Source organism: Homo sapiens, chromosome 18 (genome assembly GCF_000001405.40).
Source record: "Homo sapiens chromosome 18, GRCh38.p14 Primary Assembly".
NCBI classification, from domain to species: domain Eukaryota; kingdom Metazoa; phylum Chordata; class Mammalia; order Primates; family Hominidae; genus Homo; species Homo sapiens.
This window is the reverse complement of record NC_000018.10, coordinates 67,835,250-67,858,610: the sequence shown is the minus strand read 5'-3', so window position 1 is coordinate 67,858,610 and position 23,361 is coordinate 67,835,250. Positions and strand designations below refer to the sequence as shown.

Here is a 23,361-nt window from a genome sequence, read left to right as displayed (position 1 = left end):
TGACATAAATCAATAACTGAATAGCTTCAAACAACAGACATGTATTGTTTCATAGTACTGGGGGCACCCCAGATGTTAAAAATCAAAATGTTAGTAGGGCACTTCCCCTGAGGCTCTAGGAAAGAATCTTGTATTGCCCCTTGCAGTTCGTGGTGGTACCTGGCATACCTTGGCTTGTGGTAGCATCACTCCAATCTCTGTCTCTGTCTTCATATGAATTTCTCTCTGCATCTTTGTGTCCTCTCCTTTTCTAAGGTCACAAGGCATGAGATTTAGGACATACTTTATCCAGGATGACTTTTATCTAGAGACTTTTATCCACATTATATCAGCCCTGACCCTATTTCCTAATAATGTCTCATTCTGAATGTCCTGTGGATGTGACTATGGGAGGAACAAAGGGACAATTTTCAATTCACTACAGATGGATTACCGCTGACTTTTATTTCCTTCTCTATGCAATAGGGTGTTTCTTCTATGTCTGTATGTTGTTTTTATAGTCAGAAATTGTAACACTTATAATTTGAAAAAATACCTAATCAGACATGGGTATTAGAGGGTATTAAATTCAAAGGTATTGAATACATGGATAATAAATACAAATATTCAGATGGACATTAAACTGGAAAGTCCTGTTATGATTGGATGACACACAGGATGTTTAAGCCATCCTCTCAGTTTTCCTTTTCCAGGGCACTGCTTCTTGGGACACTGAGTCCAGCTTATTATTGATCATGAAGAGTTTCAATTTTTTCAACTGAATTGCTTCTAGAAATTTCCTAGATGGTAAAGCCTCTGAAGTGAGAGATATTTGACTTGTTCACTACTCTATTTGTACTAACAAAGACAATATCTAGTAGGTTCGCTTAATGAATATTTATTGAAGAGTTCAATGAATAAGTGCTTTTAAAAGGTCATGCTGCCTTAACTCCTCTAAAATTTTCTAATTCATTTTTGACAACTGCAAATGTTTATTCTTTGTGCAACTTTTAACTTCAGCTACTGCAGTTGCTAACCTGATTTCTGTTTGTCCTCTGTCATTTAGTATTTCTGATTTTTCCACTCAATTGAACACACCCTTTTTGAGAGTAACAGCATAGAATGGGTTTACCAGCCTGGTCGTTCAACATATGTGCCTCCATTTAAATACTCTCCTTCCTTTTATTTTTAATTTCACCATTTGATCATTTAGACTTTTTTGAAGTTTTATAATATTAATTTCAGATATTGTTATTACTTTGTAATCTTTATTTAGAAATATTTTACATGGTATTGTCAGTACTGTTTCTTGTATTCTAGCTCTATTAAGTTTCATTTCTGTTTTTTAAATAATATCTTGCCTTCTGTAGCTTATCACCAAATATATATTGATCTTTATAGCTCTATAAGATGGAAGGATCTCATTAAGAAGCCATCTCTGCAAATGTTTCTGTTGTCATAGATCTTCAAAGTGTAGATATTCTTAAGTTTTAACCATTGTATGTTAAAATATAAGTATTCATCTAAAAATCAACTATAATACATGCGAGTTAGAGACATTATAACATCTCTCAATGTCAAAGAGATTAAAAAGCAGAAGGAAAATGCTAATTAGGAAAAGGCAGTGATACAAAAACATTTTACATGAAGGCAGGTTTCAGTGATGGAGAATTTAAAATTTCAGATTCTGAAAACAGTTTAATTAGTATTTCATTGAGATAAATATTATCAGTAAAGAGCATTTACTCACTTAACTTTTTTGTCACATAAATGTGAAAGCTAACTAGGAATTCAGACCACATAATAATTGCTCATACTTTTTTCAAATAGAAAATTTTAAATATTTTTCCCTCAAAACATTAACCAAGCAATCGTCATATAATTTATTATGTTTATTTGGATCTTTAACTTTCTACATGCCTCTTGGTTTTCACAGATTGAAAGTTGTTGAAGCTCTTGAAAGTTAAATGTGAAAATTAACTGCTAGAATCATTTACTTGCAATAAGAAATAGAAATGGAATTGAACTCAAATGAAATGTCAATTAAATATGCACATAATACAACAGTAAATTTAAAAACCTGCCATAACTTTGTCAACATTATTAAAAATTCAGTTTTTCATGTCTTAAACTTGATGTCAAAAAAAAGTAAGTGGTAAAAACAAAATCGCCTAATGTATACAGGATGTACAACTTTTTTTTATTATTATACTTTAAGTTCTGGGATACATGTGCAGAACGTGCAGGTTTGTTACATAGGTATACACGTGCTATGGTGGTTTGTTGCACACATCAACCCACCATCTAATTTGGTATTTGTCCTAATGCTGTCCCTCCCCTAGTCCCCTACCCCTGACAGGCCCCAGTGTGTGACATTCCCTTCCCTGTGTCCATGTGTTCTTATTGTTCAACTCACATTTATGAGTGAGAACATGAGGTGTTTAGTTTTCTGTTCTTGCATTAGTTTGCTGAGAATGATGGTTTCCAGCTTCATCCATGTCCTTGCAAGGGACATGAACTCATCCGTTTTTATGGATGCATAATATTCCATGGTTGTGTATGTGCCATATTTTCTTTATCCAGTCTATCATTGATGGGCATTTGGGTTGGTTTCAAGCCTTCCCTATTGTGAATAGTGCTGCAATAAACATACCTGTGCATGTGTCTTTATAGTAGAATGATTTATAATCCTTTGGATATATACCCAGGAATGGATTGCTGGGTCAAAAGGTATTTCTGGTTCTAGATCCTTGAGGAATTGCCACACTGTGTTCCACAATGGTTGAACCAATTTATACTCCCACCAACAGTGAAAAAGCATTTCTGTTTCTCCACATCCTCTCCAGCATCTTTTGTTTCCAGATTTACAACATTGTTTACCTACATTATCTCCAAAATGTCATTCAACTTCTGTCTTTATGCCTTCTGTCTTCTTTATTGTTTCCCAACCCAATAAAGCCCCTAATGTATGTGCATGTGTGTGTGTGTTCAAATACACAACAACTGATCCCAGAAATTATATATATATATATATATATATATATATATATATATATATATATATATATATATGTTTATTTATTTATTTATTTTTTTACTTTGAAAATTTTCTCAGCTGGGCATGGTGCCTCATGCCTGTAATCCCAGCACTTTGGGAGGCCAAGGCAGGTGGATTGCCTGAGCTCAGGAGTTCGCAACCAGCCTGGGCACCACGGTGAAATCCCGTCTCTACTAAAATATAAAAAATTAGCCGGGCATGGCAGCGTGCACCTGGAGTCCCAGCTATTCAGGAGGCTAAGACAGGAGAATTGCTTGAACCCAGAAGGCAGAGTTGCAGTGAGCCGAGATTGCGCCGCTGTACTCCAGCCTAGGCAACAGAGCGAGACTCCGTCTCAAAAAAAAAAAAAAATTGCCATTATGACCATGAAACTCAAAATTATTTAAAACAATCATGGAAATGCTGTGTTAACCCACATTTTATCTATAAATTATCTAAAAACCCTTTCATAATAAAAACAATCGGGCTGAGCGCAGTGGCTCATGCCTGTAATCCCAGCACTTTGGGAGGCCAAGGCGGGCAGATCACTTGAGGTCAGGAGTTGGAGACCAGTCTGGCCAACATGGTGAGACCCTGTCTCTACTAAAAATACAAAACATTAGTGGGGTGTGGTGGCACGTGTCTGTAATCCCAGCTATTCGGGAAGCTGAAGTGGGATAAATGCTTGAACCCAGGAGGCGGAGGTTCCAGTGAGCCAAGATAGCGCCATTGCACTCCAGTCTGGGTGATAGAGTGAGACTCTATCTAAAACAAACAAACAAAAAACAATCAACAAACTAAGAATGCAGTAGAACCTTCCAACATAATGAACAGCACTTAATAGCATATGTTATGGTGAAAGATTAAAACCTTCCCTCTAAGATCAAAAACAAGGGAAGTATGCTTCCATTCTTCACTTTTGCTCAACATTATAATAGAATTTCTAGCCAGAGTAGGCAAGAAAAACAAATAAATGGCTTCTAAACTCCTAAAGAATAAATGAAACTATTTCTCTTCACAGAGGAAATGATTTCATATACTAAAATATCTAAAAAGTCTGCCAAAAATCTTAAGACATGATAAACAAATTCAGAAATGTTGCAGGTTGCACAATGTACACACATATAAACACAGAAGATGAATGGTATTTATATAAGCCATCAATGAACTATCTCAAAAAGAAATTAATTTACAAAGTATTGTTTAAAATTGCACCAACTGTAAAAAGATACTTAGAAGTTAATGTAACAAAGCAGCAGTGAGACTTCTACATTGAGAACTATGAAAACATTGCTGAAAACGATAAATGACATAAAAGGAAAGTTATCCTGTGATGATGAATTGGAAGACTCAAATTGTTAAAATATCAATAGTATCTAAAGCAATATCCAGATTCAGTGTAATGTCTCTTTAAATCCCAAGAGTTTTTTTTTTTCTTTCTTTTTGCAGAAATGAAAAGGCTGGGCCTATGTTTTCTAGGAAATTACCAATGAACACGAATCGCAAAAATGACATTGTAAAGTAAGACCATAGCTACAGCATAAACAGGTGAAACAGGGAAAAATAATTAAGAGTGATATGTTTCGGCTGTGTCCTCACACAAACTCTCATCTTGAATTGTAATCCCCATGTGCAAGGGTAGGACCAGGTGGAGGTAATCAGATCATGGGATCAATTTCCCTCATGCTGTTCTTGTGATAGTGAGTGAGTCTCAAGAGCTCTGATGGTTTGACAAGTATCAGGCAATTTGCCTGCTTGCACTAACTCCATCCTGCAACCCTGCAAAGAAGGTGCATGCTTCTCCTTTGCCTTCTGCCATGATTGTAAGTTTCCTGAGGCCTCCCCAGCAATGTAGAACTGTAATTCAATTAGACCTCTTTCCTTTATAAATTACCCAGTATCTGGTATTTCTTAAGAGCAGTGTGAGAATGGACTAATACAGTAAATTGGTACTGAGGTAGTGGGGCACTGCTATAAGGTTACCAGCAAATGTGGAAGCGACCTTGAAACTGCATAACGTGCAGAGGTTGAGACAGTTTGGAGGGCTCAGAAGAAGACAGGAAAATGTGGGAAAGTGTGGAACTTCCTAGAGATTTGGAGGGCTCAGAAGGCAGGAAGATGTAGGAAAGTTTGGAACTTCCTAGAGACTTACTGAATGGCTTTGACCAAAATGCTCATAGTGATATGGACAATAAAGTCCAGGTTGAAGTGGTCTCAGATGGAAATGAGGAATATATTGAGAACTGGAGCAAAGGTCACTTTTGCTATCCTTTAGCAAAGAGACTGTCAGCATTTTACCCTTGCCCTCGAGATCTGTGGAACTTTGTACCTGAGAGAGATCATCTGAAATTGGAACTTATGTTTAAAAGGGAAGCAGGGCATAAAAAGCTTGGAAAATTTGCAGACTGACAATGCAAAAGAAAAGAAAAACCCATTTTCTGAGGAGAAACTCAATTCTGCAGAAATTTGCATAAGAACAAGGAGCCAACATGAATGGAGCTGGAGGCCAGTATCCTAAGTGAACTAATGCAGAAATGGAAAACCAAATATGACATATTCTCACTTCTAAGTGGGAACTAAACATTGAGTAAATTTGTTCATAAAGTAGGGAAAAATAGACACAGGGGCCTATTTGAAGGTAGAGGGTAGAAGGAGAATAAGGATTGAAAAACTACCTATGGGGTATTATGCTTATTATGTGGGTGACAGAATAATCTGTAAACCAAACCCCCATGACACACAATTTATCTATATAACAAACATGCCCATATACCCCTGCATCTAAAATAAAAGTTAAAAAAGGGAATTGTCAGCAATAAAGAGGGACATTTCATATTGATAAAAGTTACAATATCCTAAGATGTAACAATCATATGTGTGTTTATACCTAAAAGCAGAGCTTCAAAAGACATGAAATAAATGGTGACACAACTTAAAGGAGATATAGATGAAAAGTAGAATTATCAATCTTAAACAGTCAGTAATTGATAGTACCAAGGTGTAGACAATTAGAAAAAAAATAGAATATTTGTGCAACCCATCAAACATTAACCTTAGATTTATATAACAATACTCTGAAATATGCAGAATATATATTATTTTAAGGGTACATGGTATACTCTGCAGGATATACTATAAACAGAGGTAGAAAACAAATATCAATATATGTGAAAATATTGAAATTATACAGAGTATGTTTGTAGTTTTCAGGAACTTAAAAATAATTATCAAAAATGTTTTTTAAAAAGATCTTGTGTCAACAAGCACATGAAAGGATGCTTAATGTCATTACTCATTAGAGACATGAAATCAAATCCACTACATATCTACCAAGATATGTATAATTTCTTTAAAAAATTGAATATAACAAATGTTGGTGATGAAGTGGGGAAATTGCAACCCTTACATATTGGTGGGAATCCAAAAATGGTACTGTCTGAATGGAAAGCAGTTTAGCAGTACCTCAATAAATTAAATAAAAAATTATCACACAACCCAGTTATTCTACCAAAAGAATAGAACTCAGATGTTAAAATAAAGTTATACATGGTTGATCATAAAAGTATTGTTAAAAATTGCCAAAATGTAGAAATAGCTTAAATGTTCATCAACTGTAAACAGAAAATCAAAATTAGGTATATTTACATAACAAAATATGATTTAGATATAAAAGGATAAAATACTGATTATGCTAAAGTATGGATGAACCTTGAAAATTATTATACTAAGTGAAAAAACAGACAAAAGTTCACATATTGTGAATCTATTTGTATGAAATGTCCAGAATAGGTAAATTCATAAAAACAGAAAGCAGATTAGTGTTTGCCAGGGGTGGGGGAAGGAGCAAATAGGGAGCGACTGCTTAATGGTTATGGGATTGCCTGTTTACTCTGTTGATAGTTTATATTACTGTGCAGAATCACTTTAGTTTAACGAGATCTCATTTGTCTATTTATGTTTTGGTTTGCAATTGCTTAGAGTCTTTAACAGAAAATGTTTGCCTGGTCCTATGTGCAGAATGGTGTTTCCTAGGTTATCTTTCAGGGTTTTTATAATGTTAGGCTTTACATTTAAGTCTTGAATCTATCTCGAGTTTATTTTTTTATATGGCATAAGGAAAGAGGTCCAATTTCAATCTATGTCTATGACCAGCCAGTTATCCTAGCACTTTTTATGACTGGAGAGTCCTCTTTCTATTGCTTGTTTTTGCAAACTTTGTCAAAGATCAGATGGTCGTAGGCATGTGGCCTTATTTCTGGGATCTCTTTTCTGTTCCATTGGTCTATGAGTTTGTTTTTGTATCAGTTCCATGATGTTTTGGTTACTATCGGCTTCTAGTAAAATTTGAAGGCAGGTAAAGTGATGCCTTAAGTTTTATTCTTTTTGCTTAGGATTGCCTTGGCTATTCACACTCTTGTTTAGTTTCATTTACATTGTAAGACAGTTTTATTCTCATTCTGTGAAGAATTAATTGATAGTTTGATAGCAATAACAATGCATCTATAAATTGCTTCAGGCAGTATGACCATTTTAACAACACTGAGTCTTCCTATCCGTGAGCATAGAATGGTTTTCTGTTCGTTTGTGTCACCTCTGATTTCTTTGAGCAGTGTTTTGTAATTCTTGTTGTAGAGATATTTTACCTCTCTGGTTAGATGCATTCCTAGGTATATATTTTCTTCTTTTTGTTGCTATTGTGAATGGGATTGAATTCTTGATTTCTCAGTTTGGGTGTTGTTGGTATATAGAAATGCTACTAATTTTTGTACATTGATTTTGTATCCTGAAACTTTCCTGAAGCTGCTTATCATATCAAGGAGCTTTTGGGCAGAGACTATGGGTTTTTCTAGGTATGGAGTCACATTGTCTGCAAGGAGAGATACTTTGACATCTTCACTTCCTACTTGATTCCTGTTATTTCTATATCTTGCCTGATTGCTGTGGCCAGAACTTCTAGTACCCTGTAGAATAGAAGTGGTGATAGCAGGTACATTTGCCCTATTTTGGTTTTCAAGGGGTATGTGTCTAGCTTTTGCCCATTCAGTATAATGTTGGCTGTGATTTTGTCATAGATGGCCCTTATTATTTTGAAGTATGTACCTTCAATGCTTTGTTGAGGGATTTTAACATGAAAAGATTTTGAATTTTATCAAAAGCCTTTTCTACATCTATTAACTTGATCATATGAATTTTGTTTTTTGTTCTTTTTATGTGATGAATCACATTTGTTGATTTCCATATGTTAAACTAACTTGCATGCCCAGGGATAAGATCTACTTGATCATGGTGGATTAGCTTTTTGCTGGGATGCTGAATTTGATTTCTTGGCATTTTGTTGGGGACTTTCGCACCTATGTTCATCAAGGTTATTGACCTGAAGACTTCCTTTTTTATTGTTGTATCTTTGCCAATTTTTTGTGTCAGGATGATGCTGGACTCCGAAGGAGTTAAGGAAGAGTCCCCTCTTCTCGATTTTTTGGAATAGCTTCATAAGGAATGGTACCAGCTCTTCTTTTACATCTGACAGAATTTGACGTGAACCCCTCTGGTCCTGAAATTGTTTGGTTGGCAGGCTTTTTATTACTGATTCAATTTCAGAACTCATTATTGGTCTGTTCAGGAATTCAATTTCTTTCTGGTTCAATCCCGAAAGGTTGTATGTGTCTAGGAATTTATCTATTTCCTCCAGATTTTCTAGCTTGTGTAAATAGAGGTATTCATACTAATCTCTGCAAAAACTGCATAGTAGATTTGCATTTCTATGGAGTCATGGTCTTGTACTCTGCCATTTCTGATTGTATTTATTTGGATCTTCTCTTTTTGTCTAGCTAGGAGTCTATCTTATTAATTTGTTCACAAAAGCAACTCCTGGATTCACTGATTTTTTTGTATGATTTTTTTCACTTCTCAATTTCGTTTAGTTCAGGTTCAATTTTGGTCATTTCTTGTCCTTCACTAGCTTTCAGGTTGGATTGCTCTTGTATCTCTAGTACTTCTAGTTGTGAAATTTGGTTGTTAATTTGAGATCTCTCTGACTTTTTGACATGAGCATGAAATTCCCTCTTAATATAGCCTTAAGTGTGTCTTAGATATTCTGGTATGTTGTATCTTTGTTCTCGTTAGTTTGAAAAAATGTCTTGATTTCCAACTTATTCTCATTATTTTCCCAAAAGTCATTCAGAAACAGGTTGTTTAATTTCCATGTAATTATATGGCATTGGACAATTCTCTTTGCATTGGTTTTTATTTTTTTATTGCACTGTGGTCTGAGAGTGTGGTTGGTATGAATTTCCCTTTTTTGAACATGATGAGAATTGTTTTATGTCCAATTATGTGGTCTATTTTAGAATATGTGCCATGTGCAGATGAGAAAAATCTATATTCTGTTGTTCTTTGGTGGAGTTTTCTGTAGATAACTATTTGATCCATTTGATCAAGTGTCAAATTCAGGTCCTGAATATCACTGTTAGCTTTCTGCCTCGATGATCTGTCTAATATCGTCAATGTGGTGTTGAAATCTTCCACTATTATTGTGTGGTTTACTTAGTCTTTTACTATGTCTCCAAAAACTTGATTTATCAATCTGGATGCTCCTTTGTTGGATGCATGTATGTTTAGAACAGTTAGGTCTTCTTATTGAATCGAGCCTTTATTGTTATGTAATGTCTTTCTTTGTATTTTTTAATCTTTGAGGGTTTACCGTCTATTTTGTCTGAAATTAGATTAGCAGTCCTTGCTTTTTTCTGTTTTCTGTTTGCTTGGTAAATTTTCCTCCACCTCTTTATTTTGAGCCTCTATGTGTCATTGTGTGTGAGATGTGTCTCCTGAAGATCACATACCATTGGGTCATTCGTCTTCATCCAACTTGCCACTCTGTCATTTTCTTGGGGCATTTAGCCTATTTACATTCAAGGTTAGTATTGATATGTTTGAATTTTATCTGTCTTCATGTTGCTAGCTGGTTATTTGGCAGACTTCTTTGTGTATCTGCTTTGTAGCCTCACTGGTCTATGTACTTAAGTGTGTGTTTGTATCGGTTGGTAACAGCCTTTCCTTTCTGTTTATTTAGCACTCCCTTCAAGACCTCTTATAAGGGAGGTCTGGTCGTAACAAAATGCCTTAGCATTTGCTTGTCTGGAAAGGATCTTATTTCCCCTTCTCTTATGAAGCTTAGTTTGACTGGAGATGAAATTCTTGGTTGGAAATTATTTTCTTTAATAATGCTGAATATAGCACCCTATTCTCTTCTGGCTTGTAAAGTTTCTACTGAAAGGTCCACTGTTAGCCTGATGCGTTTCTCTTTGTAGGTAACCTGCTCCTTCTCTCTAGCTGCCTTTAATATTTTTTCTTTCATTGTGACCTTGGAGGGTCTGATTATTACGTGTCTAGGGATGGTCTTCCTGTGGTCTAGGTTCTCGGCCTTTCCTGAATTTGAATGTTGGCCTCCCTAGCGAGGTTGAGGAAATTTTCATGGACAATATCCTGAAATATGCTTTCCAAGTTGCTTGCTTTCTCTCAGGGATGCCAATGAGTTACATATAGGTCTCTTTATGTAATCCTATATTTCTCTGAGGTTTGGTTCATTCTTCTTTATTTTTTTATCTATCTATTTAGTTATTTATTTTGTCTGACTGTGTTATTTTGAAGAGCAGGTCTTCGAGTTCTGAGATTCTTTCTGCCACTTGGTCAATTGTGCTATCAATGCTTGTTATTCTGACATTTTTGTTTGTATTCTGACATTTTTGAAGTGAACTTTTCATCTCTATGAGCTCAGTTTGGTTCTTTCTTAAAATGAAAATGTCATCTTTCATCTCCTGTATTGTTTTCTTGTATTCCTCAGATTCCCTGGATTGCATTTCAACTTTCTCCTGAAGGTCAATTTTCTTTGTTCTTATCCATATTCAAATTATATTCATTTCACTTCAGCCATTTCAGCTTAGTTAAGAACTATTTAGGGGAACTAGTGAGATCGTCTGGCGATAAGAAGACACTCTGGCTTTTTGAGTTGCCAGAGTTCTTCAGCTGGTTCTTTCTCAGCTTTCCGGCTGATGTCTCTTTAGTCTTTGAAGTTGCTATCCTTTAGATGAATTTTCATGTTGTTGTTGTTTTTTTTCTTTTATCTTCTTTTATGTCCTTGGGTGTTTGATTGTGGTATAAGGTGGGTTTAGTTGACTGGCTTTGTTTTTGGTAGATTTTTGAGGCGGGCCAAGGCTCAGCTCAGCCGTTCTGGGATGTGTGCTCAAACTCGGGGAAGGTGGTATTGAGCCCTCGGCTTTGTTCTCTGGCTTCTCAAAGTTTGAAACCTGCCAACTGAAGGAGCCCAGGTATTCTCAGACCCTAGCCATAACACTACAAAGGGTAGTGCCAGCCAAAGCGCTTCACCAAGCAGTGGTAGCAGAATCTGTGCGCATTCCCACACGCCAGCAGAAGTGGGGATGTGAGAATTGGCAGTACAAGGAGGTGCATGATTGTCAGCTGGGGAGGGGAGCTAGCTGGCTTAAGGCTGCCAGCCTCCATAGGGCCATTGGCAGCTGTGGTGATGGTGGCACAGGGAGTGGAAAAGGAGGAGTGGGGATGAAGGTTGGGGCCACTAGCATCCCTGTGTGCCTTGGCATCCACAAAGGAGTCACCACAGGGGTGGGGCCCTGGCAGACACAGATCTGTCAATCCCCCTGCAAGTGATCACACCTGCAGCAGTGGCAGTGCATGGGGCAGGGTCACTGGTGTCTGTGCTCCTGTTCAGGCAGGCAACAGCAGCACAGAGGAGCGGCATCATGGGGATGGTCACTGTGCTCATGCTGGCAGCAATGACACGGTGGGCTGCATGTGCACCCACCTGCCAGTGGGGAAGGGGAAGGGGGGTTCACTTGTGCATACACGTACTAGCAAAATAATGGGATGGGGTGGCCATGGGTTAATGGATGCTTGCAAAGTGGCATGGGGGAGGCTGCAGTGGGAAGAGGGCACGTATGGACTGGTATGTGGCAGAGGGGGCCTCTCTGCTGGGGCTTGCCTTTGGTCAGGTGTGGTCTGCCAGCACAGGGGCCATGATGTGGGCCCTGGGAGGCACAACAGTTGGGCTACTGAGGCTGCATTACAAGCAGTCATGGCCAGGCTGGAGTCCCTGGAGAGGCCACCAGACAGAAGGGTTCTCAGGTTGAACTGGCCCCATCTAACAAGCAACATCACCTTGCTCTGTTCAAGTCTGACAGTTCCCCTAGGGTGTCCCTGGCCATGCTCCACTGCAGAGGTTGCTGGACCAAAACCTCCGGGCTCCACACAGGCTGGAGTCCTGCCTCCTCCACCTCTCTAAGCAGCTCTTCTGTCCCAGCGCGAGTGTCCATGGGGGGTGTTGTGTCTACTGCTGCCAGGATTCCAGAGGCCCATGGACAGAGCAGGTTGCTACCTGTTCAACTCACAAGAGTCTTTGGTGGCCAGGAACAAGTCCTCGTGTGCTGTAATCCCATGCATGGTTCTCAACTTTCTCTCTGCTCAGCCCAGCATTTGTGCTTTCCCTCCATTTGCTCTAAATGCTCTCCTTCCAAGGATCTCTGCAGAATGCATTAGTCTTCTTGGTCTCCCAGTCCCTCGGTGGCAGATGTTCCTCCTAGCTGGTCTAGTCGGCCATCTTGCCTCCATCTCTCCAGTTCCCTTTTTGGAAGTCAAATTTATTTGGTATAATATAGTCATTCCAGTCTTCCAGTACTTACTTTGCACAGTTTAATTTTCAATCATATGTACTTTTTTATTGCGTTGTTTTGGTTAAAGCATGTCTCTTGCAAACAGCATATAGTTGATATTGCTTTTTCATTCATTATGAAAATATTTTAATTAGAGTGTTTAATTTGATAAAATTTAAAGTAGCTAACAATGCAGTTAATTTAGTTCCACCATTTTATAATTGATTTCCTTTAGGCTTCTTGTTTTCTGTTTCTCCTTCTGTGTTTTCTTTGAGAGTAACTGAATATTTAAAATTCTATTTAATTTATCTTTGGAATGTTTAGCTCTGTATCTTTGTATTATATCATGATGGTTACTCTACAGGTTAACATATATATCCATAAGTTTGTATAATCTACTTATAATTAATGTTGTGGTCCTTAATGGGAAATATCAAAATCTTTTAATCATATAGAGTTATCTACCTGGTCTTGTGTGTGTGTGTGTGTGTGTGTTTGTATGTATAATTCTACATACTTACCATATTCACTACAACTTGTTGCTTTAAACAATTTTTAAAAACCTTGAATTTTATAAAATCTGGTAAAACCAAAAGGTCTCCTTGGTAGCACCAGACAACCTTAAGTGGGTGATTGACAAAATCCTTTATGGCATAACACATTCCACTAAGGACCAGTTGGTTGCACTATTGAGCAAAAATTGTGGAGAGACTTTTTTGAGACAGCAGTGGATATTACTGTCACATGCCTTCCTTTTAAGCACTGTATTTCTGGAAAGCATATAAAAGTAAGATACAGAGAACCTATAAACACCTCTAAATGGATTTTTAGTAATTGCTCCCCATATGGATTTTGATTATATCCTAGAAATAGTATGTATGTTTTTGCATGATTTGAAACATTCAGCAATCAGAATGCTACGAAAGTCAGAGAGTCTGAAAGCTATTGTTTTCATTTTCTCTACCTGGGGGATTCCAAATATCTATCTGGTGATTTTTAAAGGGCAATTTATAATTGTTTAATAAAATATGCATGCACGAAGTTTTACTCTTTGCTCAAAAATTTTATTGTCCTTATTAACCTCTACAAAACTCTGATGTCAGCACGGTTGTATGTCTTTGTTGGCTGTTGTCAGCCATATTTAGCTATACAAGTATGGATGTAATGCAAAACAGGCAAAGAGTTGGCTTTTTAATTACAGGATTTTTTATGACAAATATTACAATGGAAAAAAGTGGAACAGAATAATTGAACTTTTATCATTAAAATGGCTTTAATGACAGGCCATAAAAATAAGCTGCATCATGAAGAATGAGTACATAAAAATATTTATATTGAATGGCTTATTACTATAATTGTAAGAAAAAAGGAAGTGAATCAGAAACAAAAGAGGTGATGATCAAAGAATGAGGAGAGGGAATTAGAATTAGAGCTTATGAAGTAATTCAGTTATTGATAATGACAAACCAGGTGTGACCAGGAAAATGAATAGATAGGCTGGTGGAAATGAAAATTGAAGGAGAGACTCAAGTAACTAAAGAACCACAGAATTGGAATGATTATCTCTGTTGATAGGGAAATCACCAAAAAATATAACAGGAATAAAATATTTCAGCAAGAAAGTAATATTCAGAGACAACTGCAGAAATAGCATATTTTGCTGTTAAATGGAAATTGTAGAGGCCACAGTGAATTTAAGGATTGGGAAGGAATGAGAAATTGGAACTAAATTGGTGGTGCAGTGCTGATGTGGACAGAGTGTGGTAGAAACAATTATAAACAATAGTAGAAAGTATAGAGTACTTTTGTTACCAACACAGGTGCTTGTGAAGCCTCCCTGAGTGCTGGGGGAAGAGGAATGGTAGGGGTCAGCTGACGGAGGTAAGTGGGGTGCATGGAAGTTTTTCTTATCTAGGTTCTTAGAGCTCTCGCTATTGGATGATACTCCTGCCCACTCAGTTATCATGAGTCATTAATCTGGCTATCATTTCCTTCTATTAACCTCTTCATTACATCCCCCCTTCTACCATATTTATTTATGCTCCTCAAAACAGAGAAACAATATTTTCGTTTGGTTTTTATTTAGTCTCTATACTATCACAGTATTTATCAACAAATTTCACACATCTGGTGACAAACAAATGCTGAATTAAATGTGTGATTTCTGGAATGGATTAACAACTTAATAAGTGAGAGAAGATGAATGAGACACTTTGTTTTAGTAAAGCAGCTATCAATAAAGGGGGGATCTACACAGGTTGGTAACCATTTGACTTTAAACCTCTATTATTAATTGCATTTTAATCACTTTCCATGAGTGATTATCTAAGGTGAAATCCATAATAACCTAAAAGTTTCACCATGACAATAATTATGACCAACATTTACATACAGTTTTTCATTCCATCACGTTTGTCACTTATGTTGGCAAATGTCCTTTTCATTTGATCTTTGTTTTACATATGTATGTGTATGTATGTGTGCCTATGTGCATGTATATATGTATGTATGTGTATGTATATATTCTATCCTGAATGCAATGGGGATGCTTCTAGATGTTTAAACAGGTTATCAGTTTTATCTTATCTGTGTTTTAGAAAGTTAATTTGGTAGCAGCGTAGCAAATTAATTGTTGGCCTGAGTTAGTGAGATGTGAGCATTTGTGATTGGTTTTTATTTAAATAGCAAAATTCTGTTTTGCGCTGCATAATGAAGTTTCAGTCAACTACAAAGCACATATACAAAGACAATCCTGTGAGATTATAATGTGATGAAAAATTCCTATCACCTAATGAATTTTGGCTATCATATAATGCTGTGGCACAATGCATGACTCGTGTGTTTGCTGCGGTGCTGGTGTAAAGGAACCTACTGAGCCATCATTTGTATAAAAGTGTAGCACATACAATCACGGACCATACATAATAATTGAAAATGATAATATACCACCATGTTACTTGTTTATGAATTTACTATACTATACTATTTGTCATTGTCTTAGAATATATTCCTTCTACTTATGTAATCTTCTACTTATATTAAAATAGTAAACTATAAAACAGCTTCAGGCAAGTTTTTCAGGAAGTATTCCAGAAGGCACAAGATGACAGCTTCATGTGTGTCATTACCCCTGAAGAACCTGCAGTGAGACAAGGTGTGAAAGTGGAAGACAGTGATATTGATGACCTTGACCCTGTGTGTAGGCCTACATTTATGTGTGTGCCTATGTCTTAGTATTTAACAAAAACTTTAAGAAATACATAACTTAAAAAATCAAAATGCTTACAGAATAAGGACTCAAGGATAGAAAATATTTTTGTACAGCTGCAAAATGTGTTTGTGTTTAAGCTAAGAGTTATTACAAAAAAGTCTAAAAGCTACATAATTAAAATGTATATAAAGTAAGAAAGTCACAATAAATTAAGGTTGATTTATTATCGAAGAAATACATTTTAATAATAAATTTAGTGTACTCTAAGTGTTAAATGTTTACAAAGTGATGTCCTAGGCCTTCACATTCACTCACCACTTACCCTCTCACTCACCCAGAGCAACTTCCAGTCCTGCAAGCTTCATTTGTGTTGTGTCCTATATTCCATTTTTTATCTTTTACACCATATTTTTACTGTAATTTTGCTGCAATTACCTACAGCATTCAGTAAAGTAACATGCTGTACAGTGTTGTAGCCTAGGAGTAATAGGCAACACCACATGGCCCAGGTACAGTAAGCTGCATCATCTAGGTTTGGGTAAGTACACTCTATGAGGCTCACACAACAAAATCTCCTAACAACCCATCTCTCAGAACATATCTTCCTTATTAAGCAATGCATGGTGGAAGATTGATTTGTAAAACTCTTCCCAACCACTGGTTTTAGAGGAACAAAAATATGTATTTTTAAGAAAATATCCAAGCTATTCCTGCCAAAAGTTACTTAATTGATCGAGGAAAAGGATATACAAATCACCCGCCTTCCCATCTGCTGATAAATAGTGGTGAAAACCAATGTTGCTCTTCCATCTGCCCAGTGACATTTCTGCACACCTGTCACACGAAAAAAATCTCAAGTCACTTAGCTCAGACTCAGGAAGTTAGCAGTGGTGTGAGTCCAAAGATAGTATCCATTCCCAATAACACCAGGAAAATTATGTTATTTAAGAGGTAACATGTAAGTCAAGAATGTATCTTATAAGGAAAGAAATGCTAAATTACTTACAAAAGTTTTTTAAAATAGTAAATAACTAGGCTCAATAAAAGTACCAAGTATAGCCGCTTACCCTAAAGAACATTTAATAAAATAGGAAAGAAAAACATGTACAAATGGCCAAATAACAATAGTTCAGAGATATAGTTCAACCTTGGGTGCTGTTTTGCATGCATAGGCCTGTTGTGATAAGGTGAAATTGGAAGCTGGAAGGCTGTATGGCAGAATATGTTTTCTGAAATACTTTTTTTCTTACTCTGACAGATGTTTCATATTTTAAGAATATGATTATTTTGTCATATTCTCTCCAATATAAGAAATAGATGTCTAGAGTAACATAGTTAAAATATGTAATGCTTGAGTCTAACACTATTTCTCTATGGCTTGGCAGTACAATCTTATATCCATGAAAGGAAATAGACTCTTCCTAATTCTACAGGATATTAAATGCATTAATCTGAACAATACAAATTGCATTACAGTTTATATCCTCACAAGAGACATTCTAACATATTTCCTAAAATTTTTATATTTATCATGCTTATTTTTTGTTTTCCTCTTCTTGCTCAGAGCAAGAAGAAAAATGAAAGGCTATTTTAATATCTAATTTTTAGAATGTATCTACCATGCAGTTTTTTAATTTTTGCTATTATTATCCCTAGACATGGGCAAGTGAAATTAGGCTATTTTAAACTGCATACATTGAGGAAGACGAAGGAATCATTCCAAAAATTAAAAAAAAATAAAAATTGTTACTAGAATAAGAGTTCCACGAAGGCAAAGCAACAGATGTATACTAAACATATAACTTCAATCTTATGCAGATACAGCTTTCAAATATTACATAAAATGTCGCTCAAAAACAATTATGTGTGTCTACACATATTTGAAAGCAGGAAACAAATATGTTTACAACATACATTACTTTTGTTTTTTAGGCAAGATAAGATATTCTACCTTCAAAACCACCAGCACTGTTCGCAATAACTATACATACGAGGAATTCTGCAACAGTTGTTGAATGCAGTAGCAATTTTAACAACAGTGTTCCCTTTGGCATATTATAATGCATATTAGCTGCCATCTGTGCTTGATGAGACAGCTTGACCAGTGGTCACAGGCTGATCCCTGACCTCTGTCAGCAATTGTCTATGCATGGCTGCCTCTACATCAAAGGTCATGAGCAAAAGCCTTGGTGAACGGTCCACAGCCGTTATAGACAGATATAGATGACTACCAAAGTTAAATCAATATGACCTTTTAATATCATTCTCAAAAATCGTGTAGTAGAAAGGCATGGGTGTCAAATATATTAGAAATTCAAAGCCAGATTACAAAACTTACATGTATTGATAATAAGCTGTGTGCTAAAAACGTTACATGTAATTCTGTATTGCCTTAGTCATTTTCACAAGAATATAGGCTTCTGTTTTGATAAGAAATACTAAGGAAGTTGAATTAAGGTTTATAATAAACACATATCTTTAAAATGCCTTTACTTGGGCACCTAATGCTTTATAATTATTTATTGTCAAACATAAAGAACATACAATGGAAGTTATTAATTGAAGTGGGGTCAATGTAATTTGTTTTTTGTGAAACTTAAATAATATTAAATCAGTGATAAACTAAAGGTATAAATAATCATTTTGTTGTATTGTCAATAGTACAGTAAAGTTTTGAATAAAGTAGACTTAGGCTGTGAAAATTTATCAAGATTATTTCCTTCATGAAAGTAAGTTTTATATGTATTAACATAGCAACTATGGAATACAAACAAAACAGAAAACTCTGCAATAAAATAAAACTTAAAAATACCTAGGAGGAGAGGTGGAGCAAGATGACAGATTAGAAGACTCTATGAATTGTTCCTCCTGCAAGGACACCAATTTAACCACTATCTACACACACATAAAAAAAAGCACCTTCATGAAAATAAAAAATCAGATGAGCACTCAGAGTATCTGGTTTTACCTTCATGTTGCTGAAAGAGGCACTGAAGAGATAGGGAAAACAGTCCTGAATCGCCAACACCATCCCTCTCCTATCCCCTGGCAGTGGCAGCATGGGACAGAGATCACTTCTATGCACCAGGGAGAGGGAGAGTGCAGCAATTATGAGTCGTTGAACTCAATGCTACGTTATTATAGCAGAAAGTAAAACAAAACCAAACTCAACTGATACAGAGGGAGCATTTAAACCAGCTGGGGTGGAGTTATGAATCCCAGCAGTTGGAACTTCAGTTCCTACAAGCTTCACCACTGTGAGATAAAATTCTCTGGGGCCCTAAATAAACTTGGAAGGTAGTCTAGACCACAAAGATTGCAACTCCTAGGTGAGTCCTAGTGCTGAACTAAGCCCAGAGACAACGCACTGGAATGACAGGTGACCTACTGAGACACCAGTCTGAAAAGCTAAAAAGGAGTGCTGGCATCAACTCTTCCCTAACTCTGGGCTGCACAGCCCATGGCTCCGAAAGAGACCCGTTCCTTCTGCTTAAGGAGGAAAAAGAGAATAGTGGGGAGGACTTTGTCTTGTTTCTTGGATATTAGCCCAGCTACAGCAACCCAGGGTAACTGTCAGAGTCATGAGGTCCCTTTTCCAAGCCCAGCTCCTAGACAACATGTCTAGACACACCCTGGATCAGAAGGGAAGCTGCTGCCTTGAAGTAAAGGACTCAGTCCTCACAGGATTCTCACCTGCTAACTAAAGAGCTCTAGGGCCCTGAATAACCAGCAGTGACAACCAGGCACTACGTTGAGGGCGTTTGGCGAAACTCTGAAACTTGCTGGATTCAGGTCAGACTCAGCACATTCCCAGTTGTTTCGACTGCAAGGTGAGATTCCTTCTACTTGAGAAAAGTGGAGACCAGAATAAAGGGGGCTTTGTCTTGCACCTTAGGTACCAGCTCAACCACAGAGGGTTAAAGCAGTAAGCAGGCTCTGGAGGTTCCTGATTCCAGAATGTGGCTCTTGGACAGCATTTCTGGACCTGCCCTAGGGGAGCCCACTATCCTGATGGCTGAGTCCCAGGCCAGGTAGCATTCACCACAAGTTGACTGAAGAATCCCTGAGCCATAAGGTAGCATTGGTGGTAGTCTGGCAGTACTCGCTGTGGGCCTGTGATGACAGTGACCATGAGACGAGGGTCACCTGCCATTCAAAAGGGAAGAAAAGGATAGAAAGGACTATGTATTGTGATTTTAGTGTCAGTTCAGCTGCAATAAAATACAATACCAGGTAGAATTCTAAGGTTTTTGACTGTGGATCCTGGATCCTAGACAGCACCTCTGGACCCACTTGTGGCCTGGGGAGCTTGATTCTCTGAAGGAAAGGACACAGGCCTGGCTGGATTTGCCACCTGCTGTTTGGACCCAGGGCCTTCAGCAAACATAAGCAGTAGCCAGAGCGTAGTTACAGCAGGCCTTGAGCAAGACCCAGTGCTGCTCTGATTCTGAAGTCAGTCTGGGTCTGACCCAGTGAAGTCCTAGTGGTGGTGGCCACTGGGGTGGTGGTGGCTGGCTTTAGAGAGAGAGAAAGGAGAGAGAAGAAAAGAAGGAAAGAAAGAAGGAAGGGAGAAAAGAAGGAAGAAAGGAAGGAAGGAAGGAAAGAAGGAAGGAAGGAAGGAAAGAAGGAAGGAAGGAAGGAAAGGGAGGGAAGGAAAGGAGATGCGATACATTATATCAACAGAATGGAGGACAGAAACCATATCATTTCAATTGATGCTATTAATAAAATTCAACATCTCTTCATAATAAAATCTCTCAAGAAACTGGGCATAGAAGGAACATACCTTAACATAAGAAAAGTCACACATGACAAACCAACAGTTAATATTATATTAAAAGGGGGAAAACTGAAAGGCTTTTTTCTAAGATCCAGAACACAAATGACTAAGATGCCTACTTTCACCACTGTTATTCAAAATAATACTGGAAGTCCTAGTTAGAGTAATCAGAAAAGAGAAAGGAATAAAATGCAGGCATATTGGAAAGGAAGAAGTGAAATTGTCCTCCTTAGCAGATTATATGATTTTATGTTTGGAAAAACCTTAAGACTCCACTAAAAAAACTAGTAGAACTGAAAAAAATCAGTTAAGTATCAATATACAGAAATCAACCTACAAAAATCAGTAGAACTTCTATATCCAACAGTGAACAATCTGAAAAAGAAATCAAAAAAGTAAACTCATTTACAATAACCACAAATAAAATTAAATACCTAGGAATTAACCAAAGAAGTGACACATCTCTATAAAGCAAACTATTTTTACAACACTGACAGAAGAAATTGAAGAGGACCCCAAAACTTGGAAAATATTTTATGTTTATGAATTGGAAGAATCATTATTGTTAAAATATCCATACTACCCAAAGCAATCTATAGGTTTAGTGCATTCCCTTTCAAAATACCAATGACATTTTTCACAGAAATAGACAAACAATCCTAACATTTATATGGAACCACAAAAAAACTCAGAATAGCCAAAATTATTCTAAGTAAAAGAAATAAAACTTTCAGAATCACATTATCTGACTTCAAATTATACTGCAGAGTTATAGTAGACAAAATAGCATGGTACTGGCATGAAAACAGACGCATAGACTAATGGAACACAATAGAAATCCCAGAAACCAATCTACACATCTACAGTGAACTCATTTTTGACAAAGGTGCCAAGAACATACATTGAGGAGAAGACAGTGTCTTCCATAAATGGTGCTGGAAAAACTGGACATCCATATTCATAAGAATAAAACTGGACCCCTATATCTCACTATAAGTAAAAATAAAATAAAAATGCAGTCAAGACTTAAATCTAAGCCCTCAATCTATGAAACTACAAGTAAACCATCATGAAAATATCCAGGACGTTGGTCTGGGCAAAAATGTCTTGAGCGTTACCTCACCAGTACAGGCAACCAAAGCAAAAATGAATAAATGGGATCACATCAAGTTAAAAAGCTTACAGACAGTGAAGGAAGCAATAACCAAAGTGAAAAGACAACCCACACAATGGGAGAAAATTTTTAAACTACCCATCTAACAAGGGATTCATAACCAGAATATATAAGGAGCTCGAACAACTCTTTAGGACTAAAACTAATAATCTGATTTTTTAAATAGGCAAAATATATGAGTAGACATTTCTCAAAAGAAGACATATCAATGGCAAACAGGCATATGAAAATGTGTTCAACATCATTGATCAGAGAAGTGAAAATCAAAACTAAAATGAAATATCATCTCACTCCAGATAAAATAGTGTCTATCCTAAATACAGGCAATGACAAATGCTGGCAAGGATGTGGAGAAAAGGGAATCCTTGTACACTGTTGATGGGGATTTAAACGGGTACAACCACTTTGGTGAACAGTTTGGAGTTTCCTCAAAAAGACTAAATTAAAAAAAATTACCATATGATCCAGCAATCCCACTGCTGGGTACATACCCAAAATAAAGGAAATCAATACGTTGAAGGCTTAGCTGCACTCCTATGTTCATTGCAGCACTGTTCACAATAACCAATTTGGAATCAACCTGTGTCTATCAGCAGCTGAAAGAATAAAAACAATTTGGTACATACACACAATGAAATACTATTTAGCCATTAAAAAGAATGAGATCCAGTCATTTGCAACAACATGAATATAACTGGGGGTCATTACATTAAGTGAAATATACCAGGCATAGAAAGAGAAACATTACATGTTCTCACTTATTTGTGGGATCTAAAAATCTAAACGATTAAACTAACAGAGATAGAGAGTAGAAGGATGGTTACCAGAGGCTGGGAAGGGTCTTGGGGGTGGAAGAGAAGGCTGGGATAGTTAATGGGTACAAAGAAAATGAAAGAATGAATAAAATCTAGTATCTGATAGCACAATGGGGGGACTGTAGCCAATAATAATTTAACTGTGTATTTGAAACTAACGAATAGATTATAATTTTACTGTTTGCAACAAAAAGGGTAAATGTTTGAGGGGATAGATACCCCATTTTTCATTATGTGATTATTATGCGTTGCATGCCTGTACCAAAACGTGTCATGTATCCCAGAAATGTGGAATACTATTCAGCCATAGAAGTATAAAATCCTGCCATATGTGGCAACATGAATGAACTGAGAGGACTTTATGTTAATGAAATAAGCCAAGCATAGAAAGACAAACAACACAGGATCTCACTCGTATGTGGAATCTAAAAAGAGTTTATCTCATAGAGGTATAAATTAGAATAACAATTTCCAGAGGTTTGGGGGAGGTATGGGGAGGAGAATATGGGGTGATATTGGTCAACTGGTACCAAATATCAACTGGTACAGACTGATAGGAAGAAGAAGTTCTGGTGTTCTATTGCAGAGTAGGGTGCTGATAGTTAAATATATTGTACTGTATATTTCAAAATAAGTGTAAGTAATAATTTTCAATACTCTCACCACAGAAAAATGTTTGAGGTGA

The 23,361-nt window shown here is 36.8% G+C and overlaps 1 long non-coding RNA gene across 1 annotated transcript in view; it reads right to left on the bottom strand.

The window, feature by feature from the left end:
• The window catches only part of DSEL-AS1 (DSEL antisense RNA 1), a 383,074-nt gene that overhangs the window by 41,009 nt on the left and 318,704 nt on the right, over positions 1 to 23,361 (bottom strand). The window contains exon 3 of the long non-coding RNA NR_033921.1: positions 22,353 to 22,457. This is a non-coding gene — a long non-coding RNA (DSEL antisense RNA 1). The remainder of the gene's footprint in view (positions 1 to 22,352; positions 22,458 to 23,361) is intronic.